This window comes from Homo sapiens, chromosome 19, assembly GCF_000001405.40.
Source record: "Homo sapiens chromosome 19, GRCh38.p14 Primary Assembly".
NCBI classification, from domain to species: Eukaryota; Metazoa; Chordata; class Mammalia; order Primates; family Hominidae; genus Homo; species Homo sapiens.
Window position 1 is genome coordinate 11000505 of NC_000019.10, and position 25910 is coordinate 11026414.

Consider the following 25910-nt stretch of genomic DNA (forward strand, 5'->3'; position numbering starts at 1 on the left):
GAGCTTTTTATTACTTGAGACAGGGTCTCTCTCTGTCAGCCAGTTCTGTCTCACAGTTCTGAAGCCATCTGGAGGACTCAAGAAAAAAGTAATGGGCCAGGTGCGGTGGCTCACATCTGTAATCCCAGCACTTTGGGAGGCCGAGGCAGGCAGATCATGAGGTCAGGAGTTCGAGACCAGTCTGGCCAGTATGGTGAAACCCAGTCTCTACTAAAAATACAAACATTAGCCAGGCGTGGTGGCAGGCTTCTGTAGTCCCAGCTACTGGGAGGCTGAGGCAGGAGAATCACTTAAACCCGGGAGGCGGATCACACCACTGCACTCCAGCCTGGGCGACAGAGTGAGACTCTGTCTCAAAAAAAAAAAAAAAAAGTCATGAAGTGGGAAAGTGCATGAAGTGGGAGCTTGTGCTCAGTCCTGCTGTGGCTGCCTGTCCTGTGGAGTGTTGAGAACAGGCACCGGCACTTGCTGCTGCTTGTGGGTTTTCTTGTTCTCGGACAGTGGTACTCAGCCTCTGTTGTGTGTTCTAGTCACCTGGGGAGCTCTCTATTATTATTACTACTATTATTTGAGACAGGGTCTCTCTGTTGTCCAGGCTGGAGTCCAGTGATGAGGTCATGGCTCACCGCAGCCTTGACGTCCTGGGCTCAAGTGATCCTCCGAGGACCTTTTTCTAAGTAGTAGCTGAGCATGAAGGCATGTGCCTGTTGTTGCAGCTGCTCAGGAGGCTGAGGTGGGAGGATTGCTTTAGTCCAGGAGTTCAAGACCAACCTGGGCAACATAGGGAGACTCTGTCTCTCCAAAAAATAAAATAATTACCTGGGCATGGTGGTGTGCACTTGCGGTCCCAGCTGATTGGGAGCCAGAGGTAGGCGGATCACTTGAGCCCAGGGCTTTGAGGCTGTGATCACACCTGTGAATAACCATGGTACTGAGCCCGTCTCCAAAAAATAAAAAGTAAATTAAAAATCTTAAAAAGCGAGGATGCCCAAGCCTCACTCCAGAGGAGTTCAATCAGAATTTTGGGTGTAGGGGAGGCATGCAGCAATCGGCATCTTTGACTGCTCCTCCCAGTGATCCCAGAGAGGATGTGGAGTTGAAAGTCCCTGACTGAGGCAGCCTGCAGAGCCCATTGTTGGGGTAAGAGGTTGCTCTTATGGTGGCCGCTCTGTGGGTGAGCTTTTAGCGCGTAGAGACTGATATCCCTCCGCTGTGTGGACGGTATTGACACTGTGAGCGCAGCAGTTTTGCAGGTAGTTATAAATTCCTGGAAGATGAAAACCAAAATTTAAACCAATAACTTTTTCTCCATCCTGGAAGTTTTTTCTAGGAAATATACAAGAATTGATGAGGGAGAAAATGTTTATCCATTGAATCTCAACAGGAGGAGTTTCATATTTGTTGCTAAGAGGAATTATTTTTGAAATATTTCAATTAGCTTTTTAACAAAAAAGAATGAGGACCCTTGATGAGATCTACAAATAGAGTATAAGTGGGGGAAAAAATCAAGGTCCAAAGAATGTAAATTATATAACCGTTAGTGTAAAAAAGAGGGAGAAAGTGGAAACGTCTAAGTCCTTGTTTCTTATCCATGGAATTGATCTGGAAGGATGGACAGGAAACTGATACCAGTGGAAAACTGTGAAGAGAAAAACTTAGGCTGGAGCACAGAAGAATGGGGAGAGCCCACATGATGCTCTTCAGTTTTCGTTAAAAAAATAAAAATGGGCCTTGGGAGGCCGAGGCGGGCAGATCACGAGGTCAGGAGATCGAGACTGTCTTGGCTAACACAGTGAAACCCCGTCTCCACTAAAAATACTAAAAATTAGCTGGGCATGGTGATGGGCACCTGTAGTCCCAGCTACTCTGGAGGCTGAGGCAGGAGAATGGCATGAACCTGGGAGGTGGAGCTTGCAGTGAGCCGATACCGCACCACTGCACTCCAGCCTGGGCAACAGAGTGAGACTCCATCTCAAAAAAATAAATAAATAAAAATAAAAAATAAAAATGGGCCGAGCATAGTGGCTCACGCCTGGAATCCCAGCACTTTGGGAGGCCAAGGCGGGTGGATCACATGAGGCCAGAAGTTTGAGACCAGCCCGGCCTGAATTTTCAGCTATGAGTGTCTGGACTATTTGAAAATTACAATGTATATGCCAGTTACCTTAAAGAAACAGGTGTTGGGAGACTGAGGCAGAGAATTGCTTGAACCCAGGAGGCAGAGGTTGTAGTGAGCCGAGAGCCGAGATCACGCCACTGCACTCTAGCCTGGGTGACAGAGCGAGACTCCGTCTCAAAAAAAAAAAAAAAAAAAAAAGAAGAAACAAGTGTCAGCCAAGGTTGATGGGTTATATATTTTTACTGGATTACTGAGTATACAGTTTACGCATTTTCCCACCACTGGCCATGTTTGCCTGCCATTTTCTGTGCAAACAGTTGAGTGGGTGCTTCCCACCTTGGCCTCTGTAAGTGTTTGGTCTGGAGGCCCTGCAACCTCAGTGTCACACGAATGACTCTTTTTCAGCCTCTGGACGAGACCAGCCAGATGAGCGACCTCCCGGTGAAGGTGATCCACGTGGAGAGTGGGAAGATCCTCACAGGCACAGATGCCCCCAAAGCCGGGCAGCTGGAGGCCTGGCTCGAGATGAACCCGGGGTGAGTTGGGCCTTGCATTCCAGATGCAGTGGGGATCCAAGTCCTCGGTGGGCCTTGTTCCAGGGAGGTGGCAGCCAGGAGCAATTTTACTTCTGTTTGAATTCCCGGCAGGTTTGGTAGGGAAAGTGAATTCTGCTGGCTCTGAGCAGATTTGTATGAAAGCCCTTACATTTTTTCTAGGTATGAAGTAGCTCCGAGGTCTGATAGTGAAGAAAGTGGCTCAGAAGAAGAGGAAGAGGTAAGAGTGCATTTCCTGGCTTTCAAGGCTCTCAGTGCCCACTGGCAGTGACTTCCACCCTGTGTGTTGTGACCGTCTCCTGCCCTGGCTGGGCATCTTGTGGGGCAGGGAACAGCAGGGCCCAGGCCTGCCCGAAGTCGGTGCTTTAGAGCTGTCCTATCCAATAGGGCAGCTTCTGGCGACATGTGACCATTTCCATTTTAAATTAAATCAGTCACATTACATAAAATTTAAGACTCATTTTCTCTTTCACACTGGCTGCATTTCAGGTGCTTGGCATCCCTTATCTGGGAATGGTCTGCCTCATTTGCCCATTTTTTTTTTTTTTTTTTGAAACGGAGTCTCACTCTGTCACCCAGGCTGGAGTGCACTGGTGCAATCTCAGCTCATTGCAACCTCCACCTCCCGGGTTCAAGCAATTCTCCTGCCTCAGCCTCCCAAGTAGCTGGGACTACAGGCGCCTGCCACCACGTCCAGCTAGTTTTTTTATGTTTAGTAGAGATGGAGTTTCATCATATTGGCCAGGCTGGTCTCAAACTCCCGACCTGAAGTGATCCACCTGCCTCAGCCTCCCAAAGTGCTGGGATTACAGACATGAACCTCCACGTCCGACTTATGATTTTTTTGTTGTTGTTTTGAAATGGAGACTTGCTGTGTTGCCCAGGCTGGAGTGCAGTGGCGCGATGTTGGCTCACTGCAGCCTCCACCTCCCGTGTTCAAGCGATTCTCCTGCCTCAGCCTCCCTAGTAGCTGGGACTTCAGGCACCTGCCACCATGCCTGGCTAATTTTTGTATTTTTAGTAGAGACAGGGTTACACCATGTTGGCCAGTCTGGTCTTGAACTCTTGACTGGTGATTTTTTTTTTTTTTGAGACAGAGTCTCACTCTATAGCCCAGGATGGAGTGCAGTGGCGCGATCTCGCTCACTGCAACCTCCGCCTCCCGGGTTCAAGTGATTCTCCTGCCTCAGTCTCCTGAGTAGCTGGGATTACAGGCGCCCGCCACCATGCCAGCTAATTTTTAAAATATTTTTAGTAGAGATGGGGTTCCACCATGTTGGCCAGGCTGGTCTCGAACTGCTGACCTTAAGCGATCCACCCACCTGGGCCTCCCAAAGTATTGGGATTACAGGCACGAACCAGTGCGTCAAAGTCTGTTCTGTGTTAGTCACTCTAACCCTCTTATGATTATTGTTCACATGGTACATCTTTTTCCCTTCTTTTACTTTCAACCTGAATCTACAACAGCATATGGGTTTTGCATTTTCAGCTAGTATGACAGTGACTGCTTTTTGACTGAGTTTTTAAGACCATTTATATTTACTGTAATTTCTGATATGATTGGGCTTACATTTGCTATTTCTTTTCTATGCCTCCTGTTTTTGTTCCTCCTTTACTGCCTTTTGTGTTCAATGTTTTTTTTCCCTAGATTTTTATTTTTATAGTGCCTTTTTTTTTTTTGAGACGGAGTCTCGCTCTGTCACCCAGGCTGGAGTGCAGTGGAGCAATCTCGGCTCACTGCAATCTCTGCCTCCCGGGTTCAAGTGATTCTCCTGCCTCAGCCTCCCGGGACTACAGGTGCATGCCACCAAACCCGGCTAATTTTTTTTTGTATTTTTAGTAGAGACAGGGTTTCACCATGTTGGTCAGGCTGGTCTCGAACTCCTGACCTCAGGTGATCTGCCTGCCTTGGCCTCCCAAAGTGTTGGGATTACAGGCGTGAGCCACCACGCCTGGCCTCTCCTATTTTTTTGCTTACCTCTTCATGTTTAGTTGAAGCGTACTTTAGCTACCCTGGAGTCTGACTTTTAAAACTCTGGGAGGTTGTGGTGGCGTCTAGTCTGTTTAGTAATTTCCTGGGGCTCAGTCTGTGAAATCTGGTTCCTGCATAGTGTGTATAGCCTCTGCTGTATTTCCTCAATTCTTTTAAACATTTTTTGGTTTTATCTTATTCGTGATTTTTTTCCTGGTTCATTAGGGGCAGGCAGTGTTTCTTTGTCACTTAGTGGTCATCCAAAGATTGGCCACAGTTTGTGCTCAGACACGCGCCTTCTTTCTCCTGCTGATGGTTCAGTTGTATGAGGAGGTGCATTCCACATTTGGGCCATTGTCGGGTTCTCCCTGGCACTTATGCTTTGCTGAGTCCTTTGGCGTCTCTTTGCATATGCACAGACTCAGCCTCAGCCAGTGATACGCTTTTCCCTACCGTGGCTGATCTCACCTCCATTAGCAGTGCCACTGGCTGTGGGCATTGCTTCCTTCTACAAGTGACTGAGCCCCTTCCACCTCCCTGCCAAGCCTCATGGCCTGCAGCTCTCCAGCTGTAAGAGGTTCATGTGTCCAGAGCTGAGGCAGAAGAAGTGAAAGTGGCCCACAGTAAAAGTGCTACAAACTCCCACTCTTCCCACCTGAAGTTCAGTTTTTTAAGGTTCAATGATTCTAGTAGACCTTTGGTCAACTCGCTGAGCTCTGAAATGCTCACTCTGTCAATTTGTCCGGCTTTATAGTTGCTTTTGGGGAGGAAATTTGCCCACCTCCTCATTTGGGTTTAGCCAGAAGTCTCACTCCTATTTTAATTCCAGCATGTCTGTACCAGCTCTGATTTTCTTGCCTAAAATGTCGGTGTTATTACCACCTGTTTATTCCAAGTGATCTGTAAAATCATTTTTTGTGACCTAAGGGAAATCCTACTGGCTTTTCACTGGAATTATTTAACAGATTAATTGCAGATCATATTTTTAAAGCTTTGTAGCAGTTCCATTATAGATGAGGGAACAATCAACTGTGTTGTATTTGTAGGATTTAAATGGCAATACAAGAATAGTTTAAGATAAGGAAATGCATTCTTGTCTATGTTATCAATATGTGTTATGCAAAATCGCAGTAAAGGCTGGAAAGCCATTAAATGATGCAACATGAATGATTAAACAAGTTCGTAGATAACTTGCAGTAAACTGAGATGCCTCTTGTCGCCAGTGTTATCAGACATATTGTAGATGGTTGAGACTTGTCAGTAAAGCTGGAAGTAAATTACAAGCAATAAATATTGAAAGTTGGTTCTAAGATATTTAAAGCCAGGCGCGGTGTCTCACGCCTGTAATCCCAGCATTTTGGGAGGGCAAGTTGGGTGGATGATCCAAGGTCAGGAGTTCGAGACCAGCCTGGCCAACATGATGAAACCCCGTCTCTACTAAAAAATACAAAAATTAGCCGGGGTGATGGTGGGCTCTAAGATATTTAATACCTAGGAAATCCAAGAGAATCAACTGATAAACTGCTTTAGTAGGTCAGCAGAGAATAGACGTGTAATGTTCATTGTATAACAGGGGTAGGAGAGATATGGAGTCTACTTCTAATTAGTAATGAAAGTCCACAATACCCTGAGATAGCCTTAAAAGAAGCGTCGGGGCCGGGTGCAGTGGCTCATACCTGTAATCCCAGCACTTTGGGAGGCTGAGGCAGGCAGATTCTTGAGCTCAGGAGTTTGAGACCAGCCTGGGCAACATAGTGAGTCCCTGTCTCTACCAAAAATGCAAAACAATTAGCCAAGTGTCATAGTGCACGCCTGTGGTCCCAGCTACTCGAGAGGCTGAGGTGGGAGGATCGCTTAAGTCCAGTGGGTGGAGGTAGCAGCGAGCTGAGATAGCACCACTGCCCTCCAGCCAGAGTGACAGAGCAAGACCCCATCTCAACAATAACAAAAAAAAGGAAGTGTCAGGAATCTGTGGTGGGGAAACCAAAAACGGTTTACTGGGCTGGGTGCGGTGGCTCACGCCTGTAATCCCAGCACTTTGGGAAGCCAAGGCAGGCGGATCACGAGGTCAGGAGTTCAAGACCAGCCTGGCCAACATAGTGAAACCCCGTCTCTACTAAAAATACAAAAATTAGCCAGGCATGGTGGCGCATGCCTGTAATCCCAGCTACTTGGGAGGTTGAGGCAGGAGAATCGCTTGAACCTGGGAGCTGGAGGTTGCACTGCGCCGAGATCACGCCACTGCACTCCAGCTTGGGCAACAGAGTGACACTTCGTCTCAAAAAAAAAAAAAAAAAAAAAAAGATGTAGCCAGTGTGGTGGCATTTGCCTGTAGTCCCAGCTACTTGAGAGGCTGAGGCGAGAGGATTGCTTGAGCCCAGGAGTTTGAGACCAGCCCGGGGAATGTCACGAGACTACATATCTACAAAAATTCAAAACATTTGAGCTGGGTGTGGTGGTGCATAGCTGTAGTTCTAGCTGCTGGGGAGGCTGAGGCAGGATGATTGCTTGAGCTGAGGAGTTCAAAGCCATCTGGGCAACATCCTGAGACTCCCATATATTAAAAAAAATAATAATAAATACATAATTTTAAAACAAAGATGTAAATAATAAACAGCACACATTCCAGGATAGGTAGAGGGGGTGAGGGCTGTAAGAAGATCACTTGCTTCTGAGACTGTTCTCCCCATGGGAGTCCCGTCCCCCCTCTCTGGGGGATGAACTGAGGTGACATGGGCTTGTCTCTTGGTAGGAGGAGGAGGAAGAGCAGCCGCAGGCAGCACAGCCTCCCACCCTGCCCGTGGAGGAGAAGAAGAAGATTCCAGATCCAGACAGCGATGACGTCTCTGAGGTGGACGCGCGGCACATCATTGAGTAAGGGGTCCCGACACAGGTTGTTCTGTGCCAGCTTCCTGTGAGGTGGCGCTGGTGGGAGTGGCTAGAATCCCAGCCATCCCTAGCTGACATTCAGCACTGTCCAGCCAGCTGCTACTGTGGAACTACAGAGACCAAATTTATTTACTTCACATTTCATGTATTTTATAGGGATTTAATAGAGCAATTGCATTCGCATGGTTCACCATATGCTTACGAGGTACAGTCAGGTGTGCGGGAGAAGCCCTCCTCACCCCGTTCTCTGCTCCCCGGCTCCCTCCCTTTCCACTACCCTCCCTGGGGAAACTTTCCAGCCTTGTGTGTCATCTTCCAGAGATGCTGTCTGCATTAGCAAGCAAAATGTGCATATTTTTGTCTTCATTTGCATACATATCTCCAGTGTACATTGGTGTGCACCTTGTTATTTTCACTGAACCTTCCCTCTTGGAGGTCATCCTGTGTCCGTGCAGAGTGCTTCCAGTCTGGTCCTCAGCGTGCAGTGTCATACTGCGTCACGTTATATTCTCATTTTCGTAGCCTGTCCTTTGGTGACAAGCGTTTAGGTTATATTTGTCATCTTTTGCTCCTGTAACACATCACAGTTAACACAGTAATCTCTTCATTGCTTATGGTAAGGAATTAATAGATCCTGTTAAAAAGCAAGTGAGGGCTGGGCGTGGTGGCTCAGGCCTGTAATCCCAGCACTTTGGGAGGCCAAGGCAGGTGGATCACTTGAGGTCAGGAGTTCAAGACCAGCCTGGCCAACTTGGTGAAACCGCATCTCTACTAAAAATACAAAAATTAGCTGGGCGTGGTGGCGTGCACCTGGAGTCCCAGCTACTTGGGAGGCTGAGACAGGAGAATCGCTTGAAATGGGGAGGAGGAGGCTGCAGTGAGCTGAGATAGCGCCACTGCACTCTAGCCTGGGCAACAGAGGGAGACTCCATCTCAAAAAAAAAAAAAATGTAGGTGGATAAAAGTCACTTTTTTTTTTTTTTTTTTTTTTTTTTTTTTTTTTGAGATAGAGTCTTGCTCTTCACCAGGCTGGAGTACAGTGGTGCGATCTTGGCTCACTGCAACCTCCACCTCCTGGGTTCGAGTGATTCTCTTGCCTCGGCCTCCTGAGTAGCTGGCACAACAGGCGCGGGCCACCACGTCCAGCTAATTTTTGTGTTTTTAGTAGAGATGGGGTTTCACCATGTTGGCCAGGATGGTCTTGATCTCTTGACCTCATGATCTACCCACTTTGAGCTCCCAAAGTGCTGGGATTACAGGCGTGAGCCACCGCACCTGGCCAGAGTTACTTTTTAAAAGAAAAACATTCAGATTAGATTACAAATTGCCTAAGTTTTAACAGCTCTGGTTTTGTATGAACCTGTTCAGTCTGTGTTTCTTTTCACCTTTAGGCTCATGAATTGTTCTTAGAAAGGGTGGGTTCTATGATGATCAGCATCTGGCTAGGTGCAGAGTGTCTTTCTGTGCTGTGGCAAGTGACAGCATTCTATTTGTTGTTTTGAGACAGTCTTGCTCAGTCGCCCAGGCTGGAGTGCAGTGGCTCGATCTCTTGACTCACTGCAGCCTCTGCCTCCGGGCTTAAGTGTTTCTTTTACCTCAGCCTCCTGAGTAGCTGGGGTTACAGGCATGCACCACCACGCCCGGCTAACTTTTTTTTTTTTTTTTTTTGAGACAGAGTCTTGCTCTGTCGCCCAGGCTAGAGTGCAGTGGCACGATCTCGGCTCTCTGCAAGCTCCGCCTCCCAGGTTCATGCCATTCTCCTGCCTCAGCCTCCCAAGTAGCTGGGACTACAGGCGCCTGCCACCACGCCCGGCTAATTTTTGTATTTTTAGTAGAGACGGGGTTTCACCATGTTGGCCAGGCTGGTCTAGAATTCCTGACCTCAGGTGATCCACATGCCTTGGCCTCCCAAAGTGCTGGGATTACAGGTGTAAGCCACTGTGCCCAGCCTAATTTTTGTTTTTTGTAGTAGAGATGGGGTTTCACCATGTTGGCCAGGCTGGTCTTGATCTCCTGGCCTCAAGTGATCCACCTGCTTCAGCCTCCCAAAGTGTTGAAATTACAGGCGTGAGCCACCACGCCCATCAGAGTGACAGAATTCTTGTACTGTGGTGGTGCAATCAGGACCCAGAGCTCCCAGGAGTCCAGTCTGGACCCCTCAGGCTTAGTGCGGGCTGCCCTGCCTGGCCTCACACTGTCCGGCTGCACCTCTATGTGTCTTACAGTGCTGGCCACAGGTCATTCAGCAGAAAGGGCCACTCCGCAGAGCTTGTGTCAGGAGCCAGCACATTGTCACAGATAGGAATGTGTGTCCTTACCCGGCACCTCCATCTCACTCCCAGGAATGCCAAGCAAGATGTCGATGATGAATATGGCGTGTCCCAGGCCCTTGCACGTGGCCTGCAGTCCTACTATGCCGTGGCCCATGCTGTCACTGAGAGAGTGGACAAGCAGTCAGCGCTTATGGTCAATGGTGTCCTCAAACAGTACCAGGTGAGGTAGGGGGTGGGGAGGCCACCGCCACGTAGCTGCCTCGGTGCAGGTGTTCCCAGGTGGTGCGGGCTTCAGACCTCAGGCAGACCTGAGTTCACCTTTTGCTCTTTGTGGGCAATGCACTCTTCCCCTCTGAGCCTCGGTTTCCCCATGTGTAAAGCAGAGATGTGGTCTGGTAGGTTAGCTGCCAGGAGGACGTGCAACAGCAGAAAGTCAGTGTCTACTGGGTGCCCGATGTGCCAGGCAGAGTGGGAGCGATTTGCACTCCAGTGGCCTCACAGAGGAGACGGGGCCACCTGAGGAGCAGAGAGGTGCAGCACCTCCTCAGCATCGCACCGTGTGTAGGACTGAACCAGGGCCGGAGCTCAGATCTGGGCATCTGCATGCTCAGGACAGGTTACCTGAGCTCTGTGTGGTGTGAAACGGCGAGCGTCAGGAGCTTAGATCTAGGAGCCGGCAGCCCTGGACTCCGCTCTTTCTTCTGGGGATGAGGTAGCAGGTCCTGTGTGAGGGTGAAAAGTTGGTGGCTCTGAAGCTCTTCACCTGGGCCTGACTTGGGACAGTCACGAAACAGAGCTGCTCATGCTCTTAATGCGGCCTGCCATCCAGAGCTCATTACAAGGCCCCACAAGACAACCAGTACAACTCCAACCAAAGAACAGCTCTCTCTGGTTTTCAATTTGGTTGTTTCTTTTCTTTTCTTTTTTTTTTTTGAAACGGAGCCTCTCTGTTGCCCAGGCTGGAGTGCAATGGCGCGATCTCAGCTCACTGCAACCTCTGCCTCCCGGGTTCAAGTGATTCTCCTGCCTCAGACTCCTGAGTAGCTGGGACTACAAGTGCGTGCCATCACGCCCGGCTAGTTTTTGTATTTTTAGTAGAGACAGAGTTTCACCATGTCGGCCAAGCTGGTCTCAAACTCCTGACCTCAGGTGATCCGCCCACCTTGGCCTCCCAAAGTGCTGGGATTACAGATGTAAGCCAGTGCACCCAGCCCCAACTTTCTTTAAGACAACTCTTAAACCTTTTGTGCTAGTATCAACATTCAAAGCTGCACATGCACCTATAGTCCCAGCTACTTAAGAGGCTGAGATGGGAGGATCGCATGAGCCCAGGAGTTGAAAGTGGGCCTGGGCAACATAGTGAGACACTGCCTCTACAAAAATATTTTAAAAATTAGCTGGGGGTGGTAGCACACATCTGTAGTCCCAGATAGTTGGGCGGCTTAGGTGGGAGGAGAGCCCGAGCCCAGGACTTCTGAGCTGTAGCGCCCTATGTCGATCAGGTGTCTGTACTAAGTTCAGCATGAATATGATGACCTTCCAGGAGTGGGGCACCACCAGGTGGCCTAAGGAGGAGCGAATCTGCCCAGGTCAGAAATGGAGCAGGTCAAAACTGATGTGCTGATCCGTAGTGAGATAGTCCCTGTGAAGAGCCACTGCACTCCAGCCTGGGTGGCATAGCGAGACCCCATCTCTATAAAACAATAATGAAACAAAGGCAAAGCTCATGGTTAGTGGAATTTTCCAAGAGTCCCATGCAATTAAAATAATTAGAACTTGGCTAGGCGCAGTGGCTCATGGCTGTGATGCCAGCACTTTGGGAGACCAAGGCGGGTGGATCACCTGAGGTCAGGAGTTTGAGACCAGGCTGGCCAACATGATGAGACCCTGTCTCTACCGAAAATACAAAAAATTAGCTGGGCATGGTGGTGCATGCCTGTAATCCCAGCTACTTGGGAGGCTGAGGCAGAATTGCTTGAACCTGGGAGGCAGAGGTTGCAGTGAGCCAAGATCGGGCCACTGCACTCCAGCTTGGGTGAGAGTGAGACTCGGTCTCAAAAAAAAAAAAATGAATTAGAACTTGGCCAGAACTTACTTCCTCAATCCATTACGAACATTTCCAAATTTTCCTTCATAACGTTATCTTCAGTTTGCAAATAGTCTTCTGTTTAAGGCCTGTATTTCAGAAAGCTCCCAGGCTTTGGAAATCCCTCTCTTAATCTTGAAATGATGTTCAGGCAGTGAATTCCTCACGAAGTCGCCCTGAAGCCCTCTTGGTTTCCTGAGTGCAAGTGTCCCGTGGTGTGGGCAGGTTTTTCCTGTGTGCTGTGTGGGGCATGGACAGGCAGACAATGTAACAGGTGGGAGTGAGCTGTTGAGATGTGTATTAGAAATGTCACACGTGTCCATCGTTCGCACAGTCATCCTGCAGCTTCACAGACGTTATTGCTAAGGATGAGGCTAAGCGATAAAGAATCAGTTTGGTTCAGAGGAAAAATCCGTGGTAAAGGCAGTAGAGGGTGGGATGTGGCTTAGGCAGAACTCGTGGCTGGCGGTGTCTTGACTCTCTGAAGTGGGAGGACCCTCTGGTGTCCGACCCGGCCTTCAGTCCTGGCGTGGCCGCATCTGTCCTTGCAGATCAAAGGTTTGGAGTGGCTGGTGTCCCTGTACAACAACAACCTGAACGGCATCCTGGCCGACGAGATGGGCCTGGGGAAGACCATCCAGACCATCGCGCTCATCACGTACCTCATGGAGCACAAACGCATCAATGGGCCCTTCCTCATCATCGTGCCTCTCTCGTGAGTACCCGCTGCCAGCAACATCCCACACGCCGCTCACACGCTCCTGTGTTTGTTTCCTAAGTTTGCCGCAGTAGAATACCACAAACGAGGTGGCTTAATTACAGAAATTTGTTTTCCTGGAGGCCAGAAGTCCAGGGTCAAGGTGTAGCAGGTTGCTTCCTCCTGAGGCCTCTCTTCCTGCTTGCAGGGATACGTGCTTACATGTATCTCACTGTGTCTTCACATGGTCCTTCCTCTGTGCGTGTCTGTGTCCTCATCTCTTCTTCTTAGAAGGACATGGGTCAGGTTGGATGAGGGTGCATCCTAATGGCCTGCTTTAACTTCATTGCCTCTGTATTGGCCCTGTCTCCAGGTACAGTCGCATCCTGAGCTGCTGGGGGTCAGGACTGCTCCACCAGCCTCGGGGCTGTGCACAGCTCCACCCGTCACAGCCTCTGCCTCTGGGTCCCGGATCAAGTGGGGGCATGACTGTGCATCCCCTCCACCCCTGGGGAGGCCTGGGGTCCCTCTCCCGGGATGTCCTTGGTGTCCTTTTCAAGTCCCACAACCAGCAAAGTCCATGCAGGGGAGTCGCAGGAGACAAGAACCTCCCACTAGAAAAGTAGGGTGAGGCCATTGAGGCTCCATTGAACAGTCTCTACTTCCTCACTGTGCAGTGCCCTGCAAGGGCCACCAGAGCCCTCGGGCACATCCCAGCATGGCCCAGGTCCTTGGGCATGGTGGGATCCGGACACCCTGAGAGGCTCTCACTTGCCACTGCCTGGCTCCACCGGCCTTTTTCTCCCTGCAAACAGAGTCCGCCCCCCTGCCCACCTCTCTCGACATCTCTCTACCCAGCTCAGCCCCTGCACTAAAGGGGGACCTGCCTAGGGTTTTCCCAGAAAGCCCCAGGGCCGGCTCTTACTGGTCCAGTTCAAGTCACATGTCCAGCAAGCAGACAGTCACCGGCCTGGGGGTTAGTCTGGTCTGATTGGGCAAACTTCAGCATAGCATTTGGTCTGGCCCTAGAGCACAGCCCCTAACTCCAACCAGGCACTCATTGGGACCACTACAGCCACGAGTCAGCAGCGGACCCCCAACTCCTGGCAGGCTGGGGAGCGGCATGCCCATGCTCCAACCCCATGGGAAAATGCCCTTCTGCCTATAAGACAGCCAGGCCCCATGGGTCACACACCCATAGGGTAGGCCTGACGTCCTGACTGTTGCAGGGAGGACTGGAGGAAAGGTGAGGACCCCAGAACCCTCCCAGGTTTACTGTGGAACTGTTTCTTTCTTCTATCTCCCTGCTTCCTACGTGGCGGGTAGAACAGACTGCTCTGAAGGAGCAGGGCGTCCTTGTGCACAGCGCTGCAGGTAGCTGCACCTCCCCTCGTGGTCAGACCCAGATTGCTACAGCGTTCCTGCTGCACCTGCCTGAGCTCTGTCCCCTGTCTGTGTCTGGAGGCTGTTCCTTCCGGCTCTGCCCACCTCCTGGCTCCCCTCTGCCCTTCTTCCCCTGGAGGCTGATGGGTGCAGTGGCAGTCGCCCTCTGCAGTTCCCGATTTTCCCTCCTTTCACTTACAGACTTCTCAGATCACCATCTCTGCTGGAACGCCGCTCTCCAGGGTGCTGTTGTTTTGCAGCCTTGGTTCTTAGTTGTTAATTTTTTGCTTTAAAAAATTTTTTTAAACTTTTCATTTTGAAATGATCTCATTTATTTTTATTTTTTTTTATTTTTTGAGGAGTCTCGCACTGTTGACCAGCCTGGAGTGCAGTGGTGCCATCTTGGTTCACTGCAACCTCTGCCTCCTGGGTTCAAGCGATTCTCCTGCCTCAGCCTCCCGAGTAGCTGGGATTAGAGGCACGCGCCACCATGTCCGGCTAACTTTTTTGCATTTTTAGTAGAGACAGGGTTTCTCCATGTTGGCTAGGCTGGTCTTGAACTCCTGACCCCATGATCTGCCCGCCTTGGCCTCCCAAAGTGCTGGGATTACAGGAGTGAGCCACTGTGCCTGGCGACCTCATTCTTAGAAAACATTGTAGAGTTAGTGTAAAGAATTGCTATGCACCCTTCACCCATCTTCCCCATTCTTTCATAACCCCAAGACAATTATGAAAACCAGGAAGATAACATGGACGTAGGACTAATAGCAAACCAGAGGCCTTATTTACCAATCTTGTCAGTTTTCTCACAAGTGGCCTTGCTCTGGTCCAGGATCCCACACTGTCACGTCTGTGTGGCATGCCTGTGGCAGTTCCTCATTTCGTCTTTGTCCTGGTCGAGCTTGACGCTGTTGAATCCTGATCGGACCTTTGGTAGACTCTCCTTCAATTTGGGTTTGTCCGATGTGATCGCGTGGAGCAACACCACGCCCTGCTTGATGTGCCTTAGCGGGGAAGGCATGAGATGTTGAGGCCTTGGTGTCTCGGGCAAGGTGCCTGCTGGGTTTCCCACTGTAAACCTAGGAGTTACACTTTCCGTTAATAACTGTCTCGTGGGAACGTACTTCGACACTTGTGAATATCTCATTTCTCTTCCTACTTTCCTCAATAATTTCAGCATCTCTTCTACTCCATTTCATGTTGCCATAAAGGAATACCTGAGACTAGGTGATAAAGAAAAGAGGTTTAGCTGGGCGCGGTGGCTCACTCCTGTAATCCCAGCACTTTGGGAGGCCGAGGCAGGCGGATCACCTGAGGTCAGGAGTTTGAGACCAGCCTGACCAACATGGTGAAACCCTGTCCCTACCAAAAATACAAAAAAAAATTAGCCAGGCATGGTGGCGCATGCCTGTAATCCCAGCCACTCAGGAGGCTGAGACAGGAGAATCACTTGAACCTGGGAGACGGGGGTTGCAGTGAGCCAATATCGTGCCATTGCATTCCAGCCTGGGCAACAAGAATGAAACGCCTTCTCAAAAAAAAAAAGAGGTTTATTTGGCTCATGATTCTGCTGGCTGGAAGACTGGGCACCTGGTGAGGGCTTCAGGCGGATTCCACTCCTGGTGGAAGGCAAAGGGGAGCCAGTGTGTAGAGATCCCATGGGGAGGGAGGAGGCGAGGGAGGCGGGGGTGCCGGGCTCCTTTTAACCATAGCTCCCACGAGAGTTCAGAGAGCAGGAACTCATTCATCCCCCATCCCCAGTACAGTACAGGCCGTTCACGAGGGTTCACGAGGCCGTTCACGAGGGAGGCCCCCATGACACAGATGCCTCCCACCAGGCCCCACCTCCAACATTGGAAATCAGACTTCAGCATGAGGTTTGGAGGTGCCAGATACCCAAACTATAGCAGCAAACGTCAGATAAGTCTTGCCTGAAAAAATAATTACATGAGAGTTGCCAAATACATGGTTACCTGTTTCTGTCCGCTCTTCTCTACAAATTAATTGGAATTCCACCGTTAGGAAGAGCTTTCCCGTCTCCCCCATGTGCTTGTTTGGGTAATTATTATATCAGTGTGGGCGTGAACAAATATTATTTATTTTGTTGCTTCAGTTTTTTTCAGATTTGGCCTGGGAGAATTCTCCCTGGAAGAATTGTGTCTTCTCTATGTATTCAGTCATTTGTTAATATGAGTATGGACCCACGGATATTTATTTAGTACTCCAGGCTACGCACCAGTGGCTGGGTTTTTTTTGTTTTGTGGCTCAAATCCATCCAGCTTTGGCCACTGGGAGTGCTTTCAGTTGGCTCTTCTGTCCTTTGACACGCCCCCAGCATCGGGTGAATTTTGAGGACTTTCTTGCTTTTTGGCACCAAGAGATGCTGCAGGCTCATGTAGTCTATTTCCCGCCCACTCCCTCAAATCAGCCATTTCTCCAAGGAGCCCTGGTTTCCCTTCTTACAGAATGGTTTTGGGAACCAAGACCTGGGTCCTGGATGGGCCTGTTGCTTCTGGGGTGTCATTGCTCCTGGGGCCCTCTCAGTGGTCAGTGCTAGGAGATTCATGTGCGCGTGCTGATGCTTTGTGCACGTATCGTCTAAAAGGCCTTCTCTGCCTCGGCATCTGTTTCTGTGTTAAGCTGAACGTGAGTTCATACCACTGTCTGCGGCTCTGAGTGAGGACCACAGGTTCCTTCTCACACTTCCACCCTGTGTGTGCGCCCATTCTCAGCTTCCGTGGACAACAGTTTCAGAGTAGTGAGCCGGTACCTCCGGGAAGCATCTTGAGCCACTAGAGCGCAGGCCTTGGGGCCAGTTCCTTGTGTGTTCAGACCTCCAGATTGCAGTCAGATTCCATTTCCAGGGTGATAGAGGTCACCTTCTTCCCCTACTTCAGTGAGGTTGTGAGGTGGGTGCTCCTGCAGTCTTTCCCACTGCGCCCCACCTGGGCAAGCGTCCATGCTGTGGAACGCCAGCTCCTGCAGGCCAGAAGAGGGCCCGCGCGCTAGGAAATGTTTACGGCGTATGGGCATCCGGCTGTGCCGGCCCTCTCACTGGGAATTGCTGCCTCCTGCCATGAGCTGCTTGTCCTGCCTCCGTTTGGACCTCTGTCTCTGGGACCTGTCCCCTCAGTCCCCTCCTGACCCTTGCTCCTGGCTCTTCTCCCTCCCAGTGCAGATGCTCCGCACACCTCCGGCTTCTCCCTTGGTGCGCTGACTGTCCCCATCACTCCAGGGAGGTTTCACTGTTCCTGAGTCAGCGGAAGCACAGGGTCAGGCCCTACGGGCCAGGTCCGGTGGCTCCAAGATGCCATCAGGGACCCAGCCTCCCCCAGGTTTCTGCCCAGTCATTCTTGGGTGACTCCAACCCTCAGGCTCCTTACCTCATGGTTGCAGGACGGCTGCACTGCCTCCCTCGCCTCATGCAGGAGAGTGGGCAGGAAAGAGTTCTAGGAGAGTGGGCAGGGCAAAAGGCAGCAGAAGCGCAAGGCTGCTGAGCCTCTGCTCCCCACGCTTCTTCAGGAACTCTCCCCAGCCTTCACCACAGCCATGCGTCCTTCTGTCTATTGGCTGTGCCGCCTGGTTGGCTGTGGCTTCCAGCGGGGCTGGAGATGGGTTCATGGTGGACACAGCACCTCCCTCGTGGAGCTGCTTGGGGGCAAACCACGAGTAGTCCCTGGGACTCCAGCTTCGAGCCCTGTCTTTACGGACCACCCCGTCTAGACTTTCTGAGTGGCTTCCCTCCCCCACTGAAAACTCCCTGCCCCAGAGTTCCTCCCAGAGCCCGTCCCCTTTGGGACTCAGCTTTATTACCGCCTCCACCCTCTCCTCAGTCTCTAGGCTGTCGGTCTCAGGTGACTCACCCCTCCCCACTGCATTCTGCCTGCCCCCATGTCCTCCCTCATTCCAGCCCTGGTCATCCCACAGGGGAACAGCCACGAGTTGCCGCTCCCTCCCATCCCTGTCCTCCCGCCTGCCACCTGAGCCAGGCCCCGCCTCGCCCCTCACTGTCCTCGTTCTCTCTCACAGTCAGGAACCTTCCGTGGCTGGAGGGTGGCAGAAAGACTGTTTGGTGTCTCCTATATCCTCAGGTCTCCACAGCACTGTTGCTAGCCTGGCTCTGGGCGTGAAGCCTGTGCTCTGAAGCTGCATTTTCCCGGCAGCAGGTCCAGGCTTCCCCAGCCCTGGCAGCATTGTTTCTGTCCCCCATCACATCTCTGTGTCCCTACTTCTCACTCTAAAGGGCCTTGCCCTCTTTTCCCAGTGGCCTCCCTTCTGTCCTCTGAGGCAGAGCCCTTCACGTCCTCGCCAGTCTCTCTTCCTCCCTCCCTCCCTCAGCTGCCCTAAACACAGTTTCTCTGCCCACTCGGAGGGCTGTGGCCATGTTGGCCTCGCCCCTGACAGCCAGTGGCTATGGGTTTGCACAGTGAGCCATTGATGAGAGACCGGCACTTGACTCTCATTTCCTTGTTCCATCAGAACGCTGTCCAACTGGGCGTACGAGTTTGACAAGTGGGCCCCCTCCGTGGTGAAGGTGTCTTACAAGGTAGGTCACAGCCACTGAGGTTTCCTCTCTTGCTACGGAGGTGCAGGCGGTGGTGGGCAGGACGTCCACACATACCTCTGGACAGTGAACCTGAGAATGCTGGGTCTCCAGTCGCATGGAGTCTCCAGGACAGCCTGGAACTCCAGTCACATGGATCCGGGAGTTTGGACTGGGCAGGGACAGGGCAGATTAGCTCACTGGGGAGGAGACAGGAGTGAGCATGGTGGCCAGCACTCAGAGGCCAGCTCAGGCGCCTGAGATGGGGACCCAGGAAGAGGGGAGCCTGTCAGCCACCAGGAATGTGCAGATGGCGGTGCAGGCTGCGTGGTTCCCTCAGGCCCCGGCCGCCGCTGGCCTGCACTGCTTCCTCTTCCCCCTGCAGCGCGTGTTCTGCGTGGTGAGGTCTGGGGACGCGCCAGCGGCCCTGCCAGCCCCTTTCCCCACTACCCCTGTGAGGACGAGCCCTCCCGCCGTGTCACTGGGCAGTTGCAGGGGGTGCCTGTGCCCCTCTTGCCACCTGGCCACCCGGCTCCAAAAGCCGAGCTGTGCATCCTGCTTCCCTTGCAGGGATCCCCAGCAGCAAGACGGGCCTTTGTCCCCCAGCTCCGGAGTGGGAAGTTCAACGTCTTGCTGACGACGTACGAGTACATCATCAAAGACAAGCACATCCTCGCCAAGGTAACGTGTCCCTGTGGGAAATGCCAGGCCATGGGCCGAGTGCTCACACGTGGGTCACGCTGCCCGTCTCCTCCAAAGCCCCTACAAGTTTCTTCCCGGAGTCCCACCTGCATGTGCGTGAAGACAGCTGCCCTGTGTAGGGGAAAGGCCTAGGTGGGGGCGACCTCAGGTTTACCTCCCTAACTGTCTCCAGGCAGGCCCTGAGTCAGGCCCAGAAGCTGGGGCCATCTACACAGCATGCGCTCTGCCTCCTCTCGGGCCTTCTGCCCAGAGAGCCTCAGCACCAAGGCGTCTCCTGACCCGCCTACAGAGTCCCCATGGGGCCTTGGCCAGACCAGTCTTGTCCTCCTGTCTCATTGCCTTGGCCGTCCCTCCCTGGGGCCCTGGCTTCTCACCACAGGCCATGGGCTGAGATTCAGCATGTGGGGGAGAGCTCGAGGGCCAAATACCATGACTGCCTGCTGGCCTTGGGCAGCTGGTTCGGGCTGTTCTGTGAGGGTCCTACTGTCCTGGAAGCCTCTTCTGGGACGAAACTGTGAAGGGAGTCCCAGCGTGGCCATGACTGAGAATACGGCCCAGATAGAAAACAGACATAGCCCTCTGCCTCCAAAAACTCATGTTCCTCATTTGAGGAGGGGTAAAGATGTACCTGGTCTCACCCCTAAACATCCAGCTGAGTGAGTGTTGAACAGTAGAGAGTTTTTTGCGTTTTGGTTTTTTTTTTTTTGAGACCGAGTCTCGCTCTGTTGCCCATGCTGGAGTGCAGTGATGTGATCACAGCTCACTGCAGGCCTGACCTCCTGGCCTCAAGCGATCCTCCCACCTCACCCTCCTGAGTAGCTGGGACTACAGGTGTGCGCCACCACTCCCAGCTAACTTTTTTAAATTTATTTTTTATGGAGATGGGGTCTTGCTGTACTGCCCAGGCTGGTCTCAAACTCCTGGCCTCAAGGAATCCTCTCGCCTTGGCCTCACAAAGCACTGGGCAACTGTGTCTGGCCTAACAGTAGAGTTCTTGACCCAGGTATGGGGGGATGGAGGAGCTGTTTATGGGTGGCTCCGCCTCTCAGTGCATGGCTGGAGTGACAGTACTGGAATACTGGGGCTGTGAACTGGGTGTTTTCTTTTCTTTTTCTCTTCTTTTTTTTTTTTATTGAGACAGAGTCTCACAGCTGTCACCCAGGCTGGAGTGCAGTGGAGCGATCTCAGCTCACTGCAACAACCTCTGCCTCCTGGGTTCAAGTGATTCTCCTGCCTCAGCCTTCCGAGGACTGGGTGCTTTATCCCGGAGCCAACAAGGGAGGAAACTGAGGCCCAGGGAGCTGGGTATCCCACGTGCAGGCTCTTACCTCAGGTCCATGCTTCAGGTGCCTCCTTTGTGGCTCACCCCTGCTGACTCCTTACAAAGCCAGGCCGTTGGCAGGCACAGGAACCAGGCTCTGAAACCCCGTGCTCCCCTGCCAGTGGCTCAGTTGATGTAATCACCCTGCAGTGGGAGTGCTCTTTGAGTGCGGCCACTGCGCCCCCTCCCGACCCGCATGGCCCTGTATGTAGTGGCGCTGGCCCCTACCCCATGGGGCCCACATTCTGAACCACAGGCTGCTCATTAGAAATGTACCGTCACCAACCCAGTTCCCCTGAGACCCTCCACACCAGCAGGACAAGTCCCCCAGTCAGCAAGATGTGTCTTCTGCCAGAACGTGCTCGGCATTTTTCTGTGCTGTAGATTCATATGTGTGATTTTGCAGGGAAGCCAGATTGCTTTTTTGCAATTTGCATTGTTCACCTGCCAATAGTCATGGGGTCACGGGCCTGTCTCTGCCCAAGGCTTGCAAGAGGCTACGTTGTGTGGCTCCAACTCGGTGAGTCAGCCCCGGGGCAGGACGTCAGGCCTGTGCTCTCCACCCAGCTGCGCTCTTCCACCTGGAGCCTTCCTGGCTGCTGGGCGCAGAGTGGGAGATTCTCCCCATGTGCCGGGCCACCTGCTGCCCCCTGCCCTGATTGCCCACTCTGGGGCCCGCAGATCCGTTGGAAGTACATGATTGTGGACGAAGGTCACCGCATGAAGAACCACCACTGCAAGCTGACGCAGGTGCTCAACACGCACTATGTGGCACCCCGCCGCCTGCTGCTGACGGGCACACCGCTGCAGAACAAGCTTCCCGAGCTCTGGGCGCTGCTCAACTTCCTGCTGCCCACCATCTTCAAGAGCTGCAGCACCTTCGAGCAGTGGTTTAACGCACCCTTTGCCATGACCGGGGAAAAGGTGGGTTTGCCCAGCTGTGCCCATGCTGACGGTTCCAGGTGCGGCTGGCTTTGCTGGTTGGAACGTGTTGAGCACCAGCTACAGCTGGCTGGGCCTGTGCTGGGTGCCTGGTGAGAGTCTGCATCTGCATGGAGCAGGGGAGCCCTGGAACCCAAGGCTGGGGCAGCCACAAGGGCCCCAGGGGAGCAGGGCAGAGGTCATGGTGGTGAATCTCGGAATGCTCGGGGCGTCTCTGACCCTATGCTCCAGGTGCAGAGTGGATGGTGAGGAAGATGGCCCTGAGGCAGCTGTGGGACCGCAAGCGTGTGGAGAGCACAGCTAGAGGCTGTAGCGTGCTGTAGGCCCCTTTAGGTGCCCTCAGAACTCACCCTCAGGGCAGTGGGAAGGAAACTTGGAAGATTCCAGTTAGCGGGGCCACATGGTCAGGTTCTGTCTTACGTTGTTTTCAAAAAGCTCAGTGGCCAGTGTGTCTCAATGTCTGGGTGGCACCATCAGCCAGACTGTGGCATGGCAGCATCATCATTGATGAGTGGTCCCACACCAGCACTGATCCCTGAGCCTAGAGCTCCTTGCTGTTGGAGGTTGAAACTGTGGGACAGACTGTGTTTCCTGCTGAGGGGTTTAAGTAACCAGATGCTGAAGTGTGGGCAGAACTACAGAGGTTACCTCGAAGTGCCCTGCCCAGCACGGCTGGGCCCACCCCCTTCTTCCCACCTTAGACAGGTCCAGGGCAGCTGGGGCCTTCCTGGCCTCATGCGTGAGTTCCCTGCCCTCTCGGCTGCTGGTCAAGGCAGAGACTCTTCTGATGGCGAAACCGAGGCATTCCCCAAAGCCTCGTGATAAAGGAGTCCCCAATTTTTAGACTCCCGGGACCCCCACACTAAGGGCCAGGATCTGATGCTATAGTTTTGTCACTTTCTGAGCCGAGCAAAAGCTCTGCCAAAGGATTGCCAGGGAAGCAATAGAAGAAAAGTTTTGGCGTCGTCTCATTTTCCTTTAACTTTTTTAATTAAAACATTTTAAAAGTTAATTATTAGTAGAGGAGTAGGCGCCGTGGGAGGTCAGGGTTTCTTTCACCTGGTTCCACCCAGGCTGAATGAGAGTCCCTTGGGGCTCCCGGTGGCAGAGCCCTCCCTGAGAATCACCCGCTATAAGCCCCATGTGGTCAGCCTGGCCCCTGCAGCGCTCCTGGCATGAGCTTGGCGTGGGGTGGGTCTGTGGACACTCCAGTTTGTGTTACTCGTGGAGAAGCAGCATGCCCGCTGCCGGGGGTCTTTCTGGTGAGGCACAGGGAGCAGAGTGCTCTGGGTACTGCGGTTCCATGTCCCAGGAATTACATGGAGGGAACCAGATCCTCACAGTTTCCTAAGGAAGAGGGTGCCCTGCCTGGCTCCCAGAAAGCATAAAGCAGGCTGAAAAGCCACGTGCCAAGGGCAAGATCACCCCAGGGGACCCCGTCCACCCTGTCCCCACATCCGCACCTTCTAGTGAGACCTCTGTCGCCCTCCTTTGGAGGTAACGCTTGCTTCTCCTGTCTTGGGGGCTTCCAGGTGGACCTGAATGAGGAGGAAACCATTCTCATCATCCGGCGTCTCCACAAAGTGCTGCGGCCCTTCTTGCTCCGACGACTCAAGAAGGAAGTCGAGGCCCAGTTGCCCGAAAAGGTGATGGAGTTTTGAGGGGAGCCACCAGTGAAGCAGCCTCACGTGGGGGCTTTCTCCAGGGCTGGGCGTGCTCAGGGCCTCTCCCCACAGTCCCAGGCCTGCCCTGGTCAATCCAGCTTGGGGGTGGCGATGACGCCACTGGGTCTGTAAAGCCCTGTGCTGCTGTTGTAGGGATTGAAAAGCACTCATAGGCTCACATAGCTCACAATAGGTTAGAGCACAAAATCCCACTTCCTGTCAGGGGGCCAGGTGCCTGTGCGGGCTCTCCTGGCCACATCAGGAGGGGCCGTGGGCTTGGGGTTGCCCCCCGGCCCCCCATCATGGCTCTGGGTTTTCAAGGCCTGCTGCAGCCACACCCCTGGGCCCAGTTCCCACAGCAAGACCCATGGACTCGGGGTCCCCGGCTGCAGTTGTCCCTCTTGGCTCTTTGTTTCCTGGCTGGCTGTAGAGAGGCCCCCAGAAGATGGCTGGGGGGCCCTTTCTGGCCCAGTAACCCTCTGGTATCTCTGCCTGGTGCTTCCTCTCATTGCCCAGGTCTCCCCTCTTCTCCCCAGCTGTGAGGGTCTCCTCACCCACACCCCAGTGTGCTCTGGTCAGAGCTCATATGACAGGGCCGAGGGGGTCAGAGCTGGGTTCGGATGGGGGGAGTCAGGCCTCAAGCCACCTTGGGCCCTCGTGAGCATTATGTGTCCCCTGCAGGTGGAGTACGTCATCAAGTGCGACATGTCTGCGCTGCAGCGAGTGCTCTACCGCCACATGCAGGCCAAGGGCGTGCTGCTGACTGATGGCTCCGAGAAGGACAAGAAGGTGGGCCCCAGAGTCCCCCAACTGCATTCCCCACTGGGTGTCCAAGGCCGGCAGCGTGGCAGGCAGAGCAGAGCGTGCTCTGACCATCGGGTCATGATCTGGTCATGATCCCCAGGGCATCTGGCCAGCCCTGGTTATGATGGCTGGTGGCTTGTGTCAGGACACACTGACTCAGCTGCCAGTGGCTTCTCCTTTGCCTATGAAACACTGGCTCCTTCTGCAATTGGCAGCCTGGGCCCAGCACTAACCCCAGCAGGGTTAGAGTGTTCTAGAATGCCCCCCTTCTCTGTTATTAAGTGAAAGGAAGGGAGCGGGCTGTCTCCTGCAGGGGCTGCTCTGAGAATCCCAGGCCCCAGGCCCCACCTGCCTGGCTCTCCTCACCAGCAGTGAAATTATCCTCCCAGGAAATGCACCAGACCCCTTGATTCTGCCCCCAAGGCCTTGACCTCGGCCTGGCTTCCCCGAGACGTTGTGTCTGTGCCCCTTCTCCCCTGAGCTGAGCAGCAGTGTGTTCCCTAGTCCATTCCCAGCCCAGAGCATGCACCCCCCGCCCCGCCCCCACCTCCTTCCTCATCCTGGAGCCCAGGGAGCCCTGAGTCATGGCTCACCCGGCTGAGGCCCTCTTGCCCAGCTGAGACCCTCTAGGGACCCCCACAGTAACAGTGCCCAGAACAAAGCTGGCATCACAAAGCATCGGGGACTCTGCCTCAGCCCTTTGCCAGTCTTGTTTCCGTCCCGTCCTGCTGGCCCTGTCCCTGCCATCTGCCCTCTGCTGTGCCAGGCAGTCATTTGTTTCCCAGGGCTTGTTGGGGGCCTCCGGGCCTCCAGCCTGCCATCTCCTCACTCCCAATTGCTGTGCCAAAAGCCACTCTTCCCCACTAGAGCGTCCCCATGGCCCTTCTCCCAACACCCACCCATCCACCAAGCCCACCCCACCCCAGGAGGGCAAGACCCCATTTGGGTCCCTCTCATCTGCCTTCCAGGGCAAAGGCGGCACCAAGACCCTGATGAACACCATCATGCAGCTGCGGAAGATCTGCAACCACCCCTACATGTTCCAGCACATCGAGGTGAGCCCGCCGCGGCTGGGACGGCTCAGGCCCTGCTGTCTGCTGAGCTCCTAGGCAGAGCTGGCTTCTCCTCGACAGCTCTTTAAAAACAGACTCGAATATTTTCATTAGGTAATGCCTGTACATCTGTCTCTCATTTGGTCTTCGCTTCACCAGTGCTTACGGGAAGAATCCCAGCAGTTAGGGCGCAACGTGCGATAGGAATATAGGGCCCTGAAAGCTTGCCCTCAGAGAGCAGGAGCGTTTGGAGACTTCTCTGGGGATGTGTCCCCCCACAGTGGGGTCCTGCTGCGTCTCTTTGGCTCACTGGCTTTTCTCACGTTGCGGGGCGTCAAGAGTCACCACCGTCTTCAGTGAAGTGTGGGGGAGTCAGAACCCTTTTTGGTCATGGTGGCTTTGAGAATCTGGGTTCTTAGAAGCATGCATATGTTCGTGTTTCTTGGTGTAAAGTGTCAGGGTCGTTGGAGACCGCCTGCTGCCCCGAGAGCCCCTGGGGCTGTCTCAGCACCCTGAGCGTGGCTGTGGCCCCATGACGTCCTCGTGCATTCAGGGTGTGAAGAGTGCTGTATGGGATGTCCTTTCCTTCGTTGGAGGAGTGTGAGGGAAAGGATGTCAGTGGACTAAGAAAGATGGTTTTGGCATCTGTGTCTGGTCTCAGAGCCGCCGTGGGCCCGTGCCGAGCACACAGTGTGGGGGCTTTGTCCTCTGAGCACGAGCGGTGTGTGCGGACCGCAGCGGGGCCCGGTGGCCTGCTCCTGCCTGTCACTGACCCCTCTCTCCTTGCCTTGCAGGAGTCCTTTTCCGAGCACTTGGGGTTCACTGGCGGCATTGTCCAAGGGTGAGAAGCTTCCCAACTGGATGGGGTGGGCAGGTGGTCCACCCAGAGGTTTTCTGTCGTTTTGTTGG

At 53.1% G+C, this 25910-nt stretch overlaps 1 protein-coding gene and 1 pseudogene across 25 annotated transcripts in view, besides 1 other annotated feature; both read left to right on the forward strand.

Annotated features, from left to right (window-relative positions):
* SMARCA4 (SWI/SNF related BAF chromatin remodeling complex subunit ATPase 4) overlaps positions 1–25910 on the forward strand; it is a 101244-nt gene that overhangs the window by 39475 nt on the left and 35859 nt on the right. For 24 of the 25 annotated variants that reach the window (XM_011528198.2, NM_001128844.3, XM_047439249.1 and 21 more), the window contains 12 exons: positions 2525–2655; positions 2836–2893; positions 7398–7519; positions 9877–10027; positions 12445–12608; positions 18453–18519; positions 19087–19197; positions 21221–21463; positions 23014–23127; positions 23827–23934; positions 24918–25004; positions 25796–25842. In XM_011528198.2, coding sequence (XP_011526500.1) covers positions 2525–2655; positions 2836–2893; positions 7398–7519; positions 9877–10027; positions 12445–12608; positions 18453–18519; positions 19087–19197; positions 21221–21463; positions 23014–23127; positions 23827–23934; positions 24918–25004; positions 25796–25842 — 1403 coding nt within the window. Of the gene's footprint in view, positions 1–2524; positions 2656–2835; positions 2894–7397; positions 7520–9876; positions 10028–12444; positions 12609–18452; positions 18520–19086; positions 19198–20945; positions 21060–21220; positions 21464–23013; positions 23128–23826; positions 23935–24917; positions 25005–25795; positions 25843–25910 lie in introns of all 25 variants that reach the window. The other variant, NR_164683.1, reaches the window with a different exon arrangement.
* Positions 9346–9846: an enhancer, noted in NCBI's record as "H3K4me1 hESC enhancer chr19:11120526-11121026 (GRCh37/hg19 assembly coordinates)". NCBI's record gives its function as "activates a minimal SCP1, AML or CMV promoter by ChIP-STARR-seq in primed H9 embryonic stem cells {active_cell/tissue: H9 hESC(primed)}" and the evidence as "EXISTENCE:reporter gene assay evidence [ECO:0000049][PMID:30033119]".
* Positions 11204–11502, forward strand: RN7SL192P (RNA, 7SL, cytoplasmic 192, pseudogene; annotated as a pseudogene).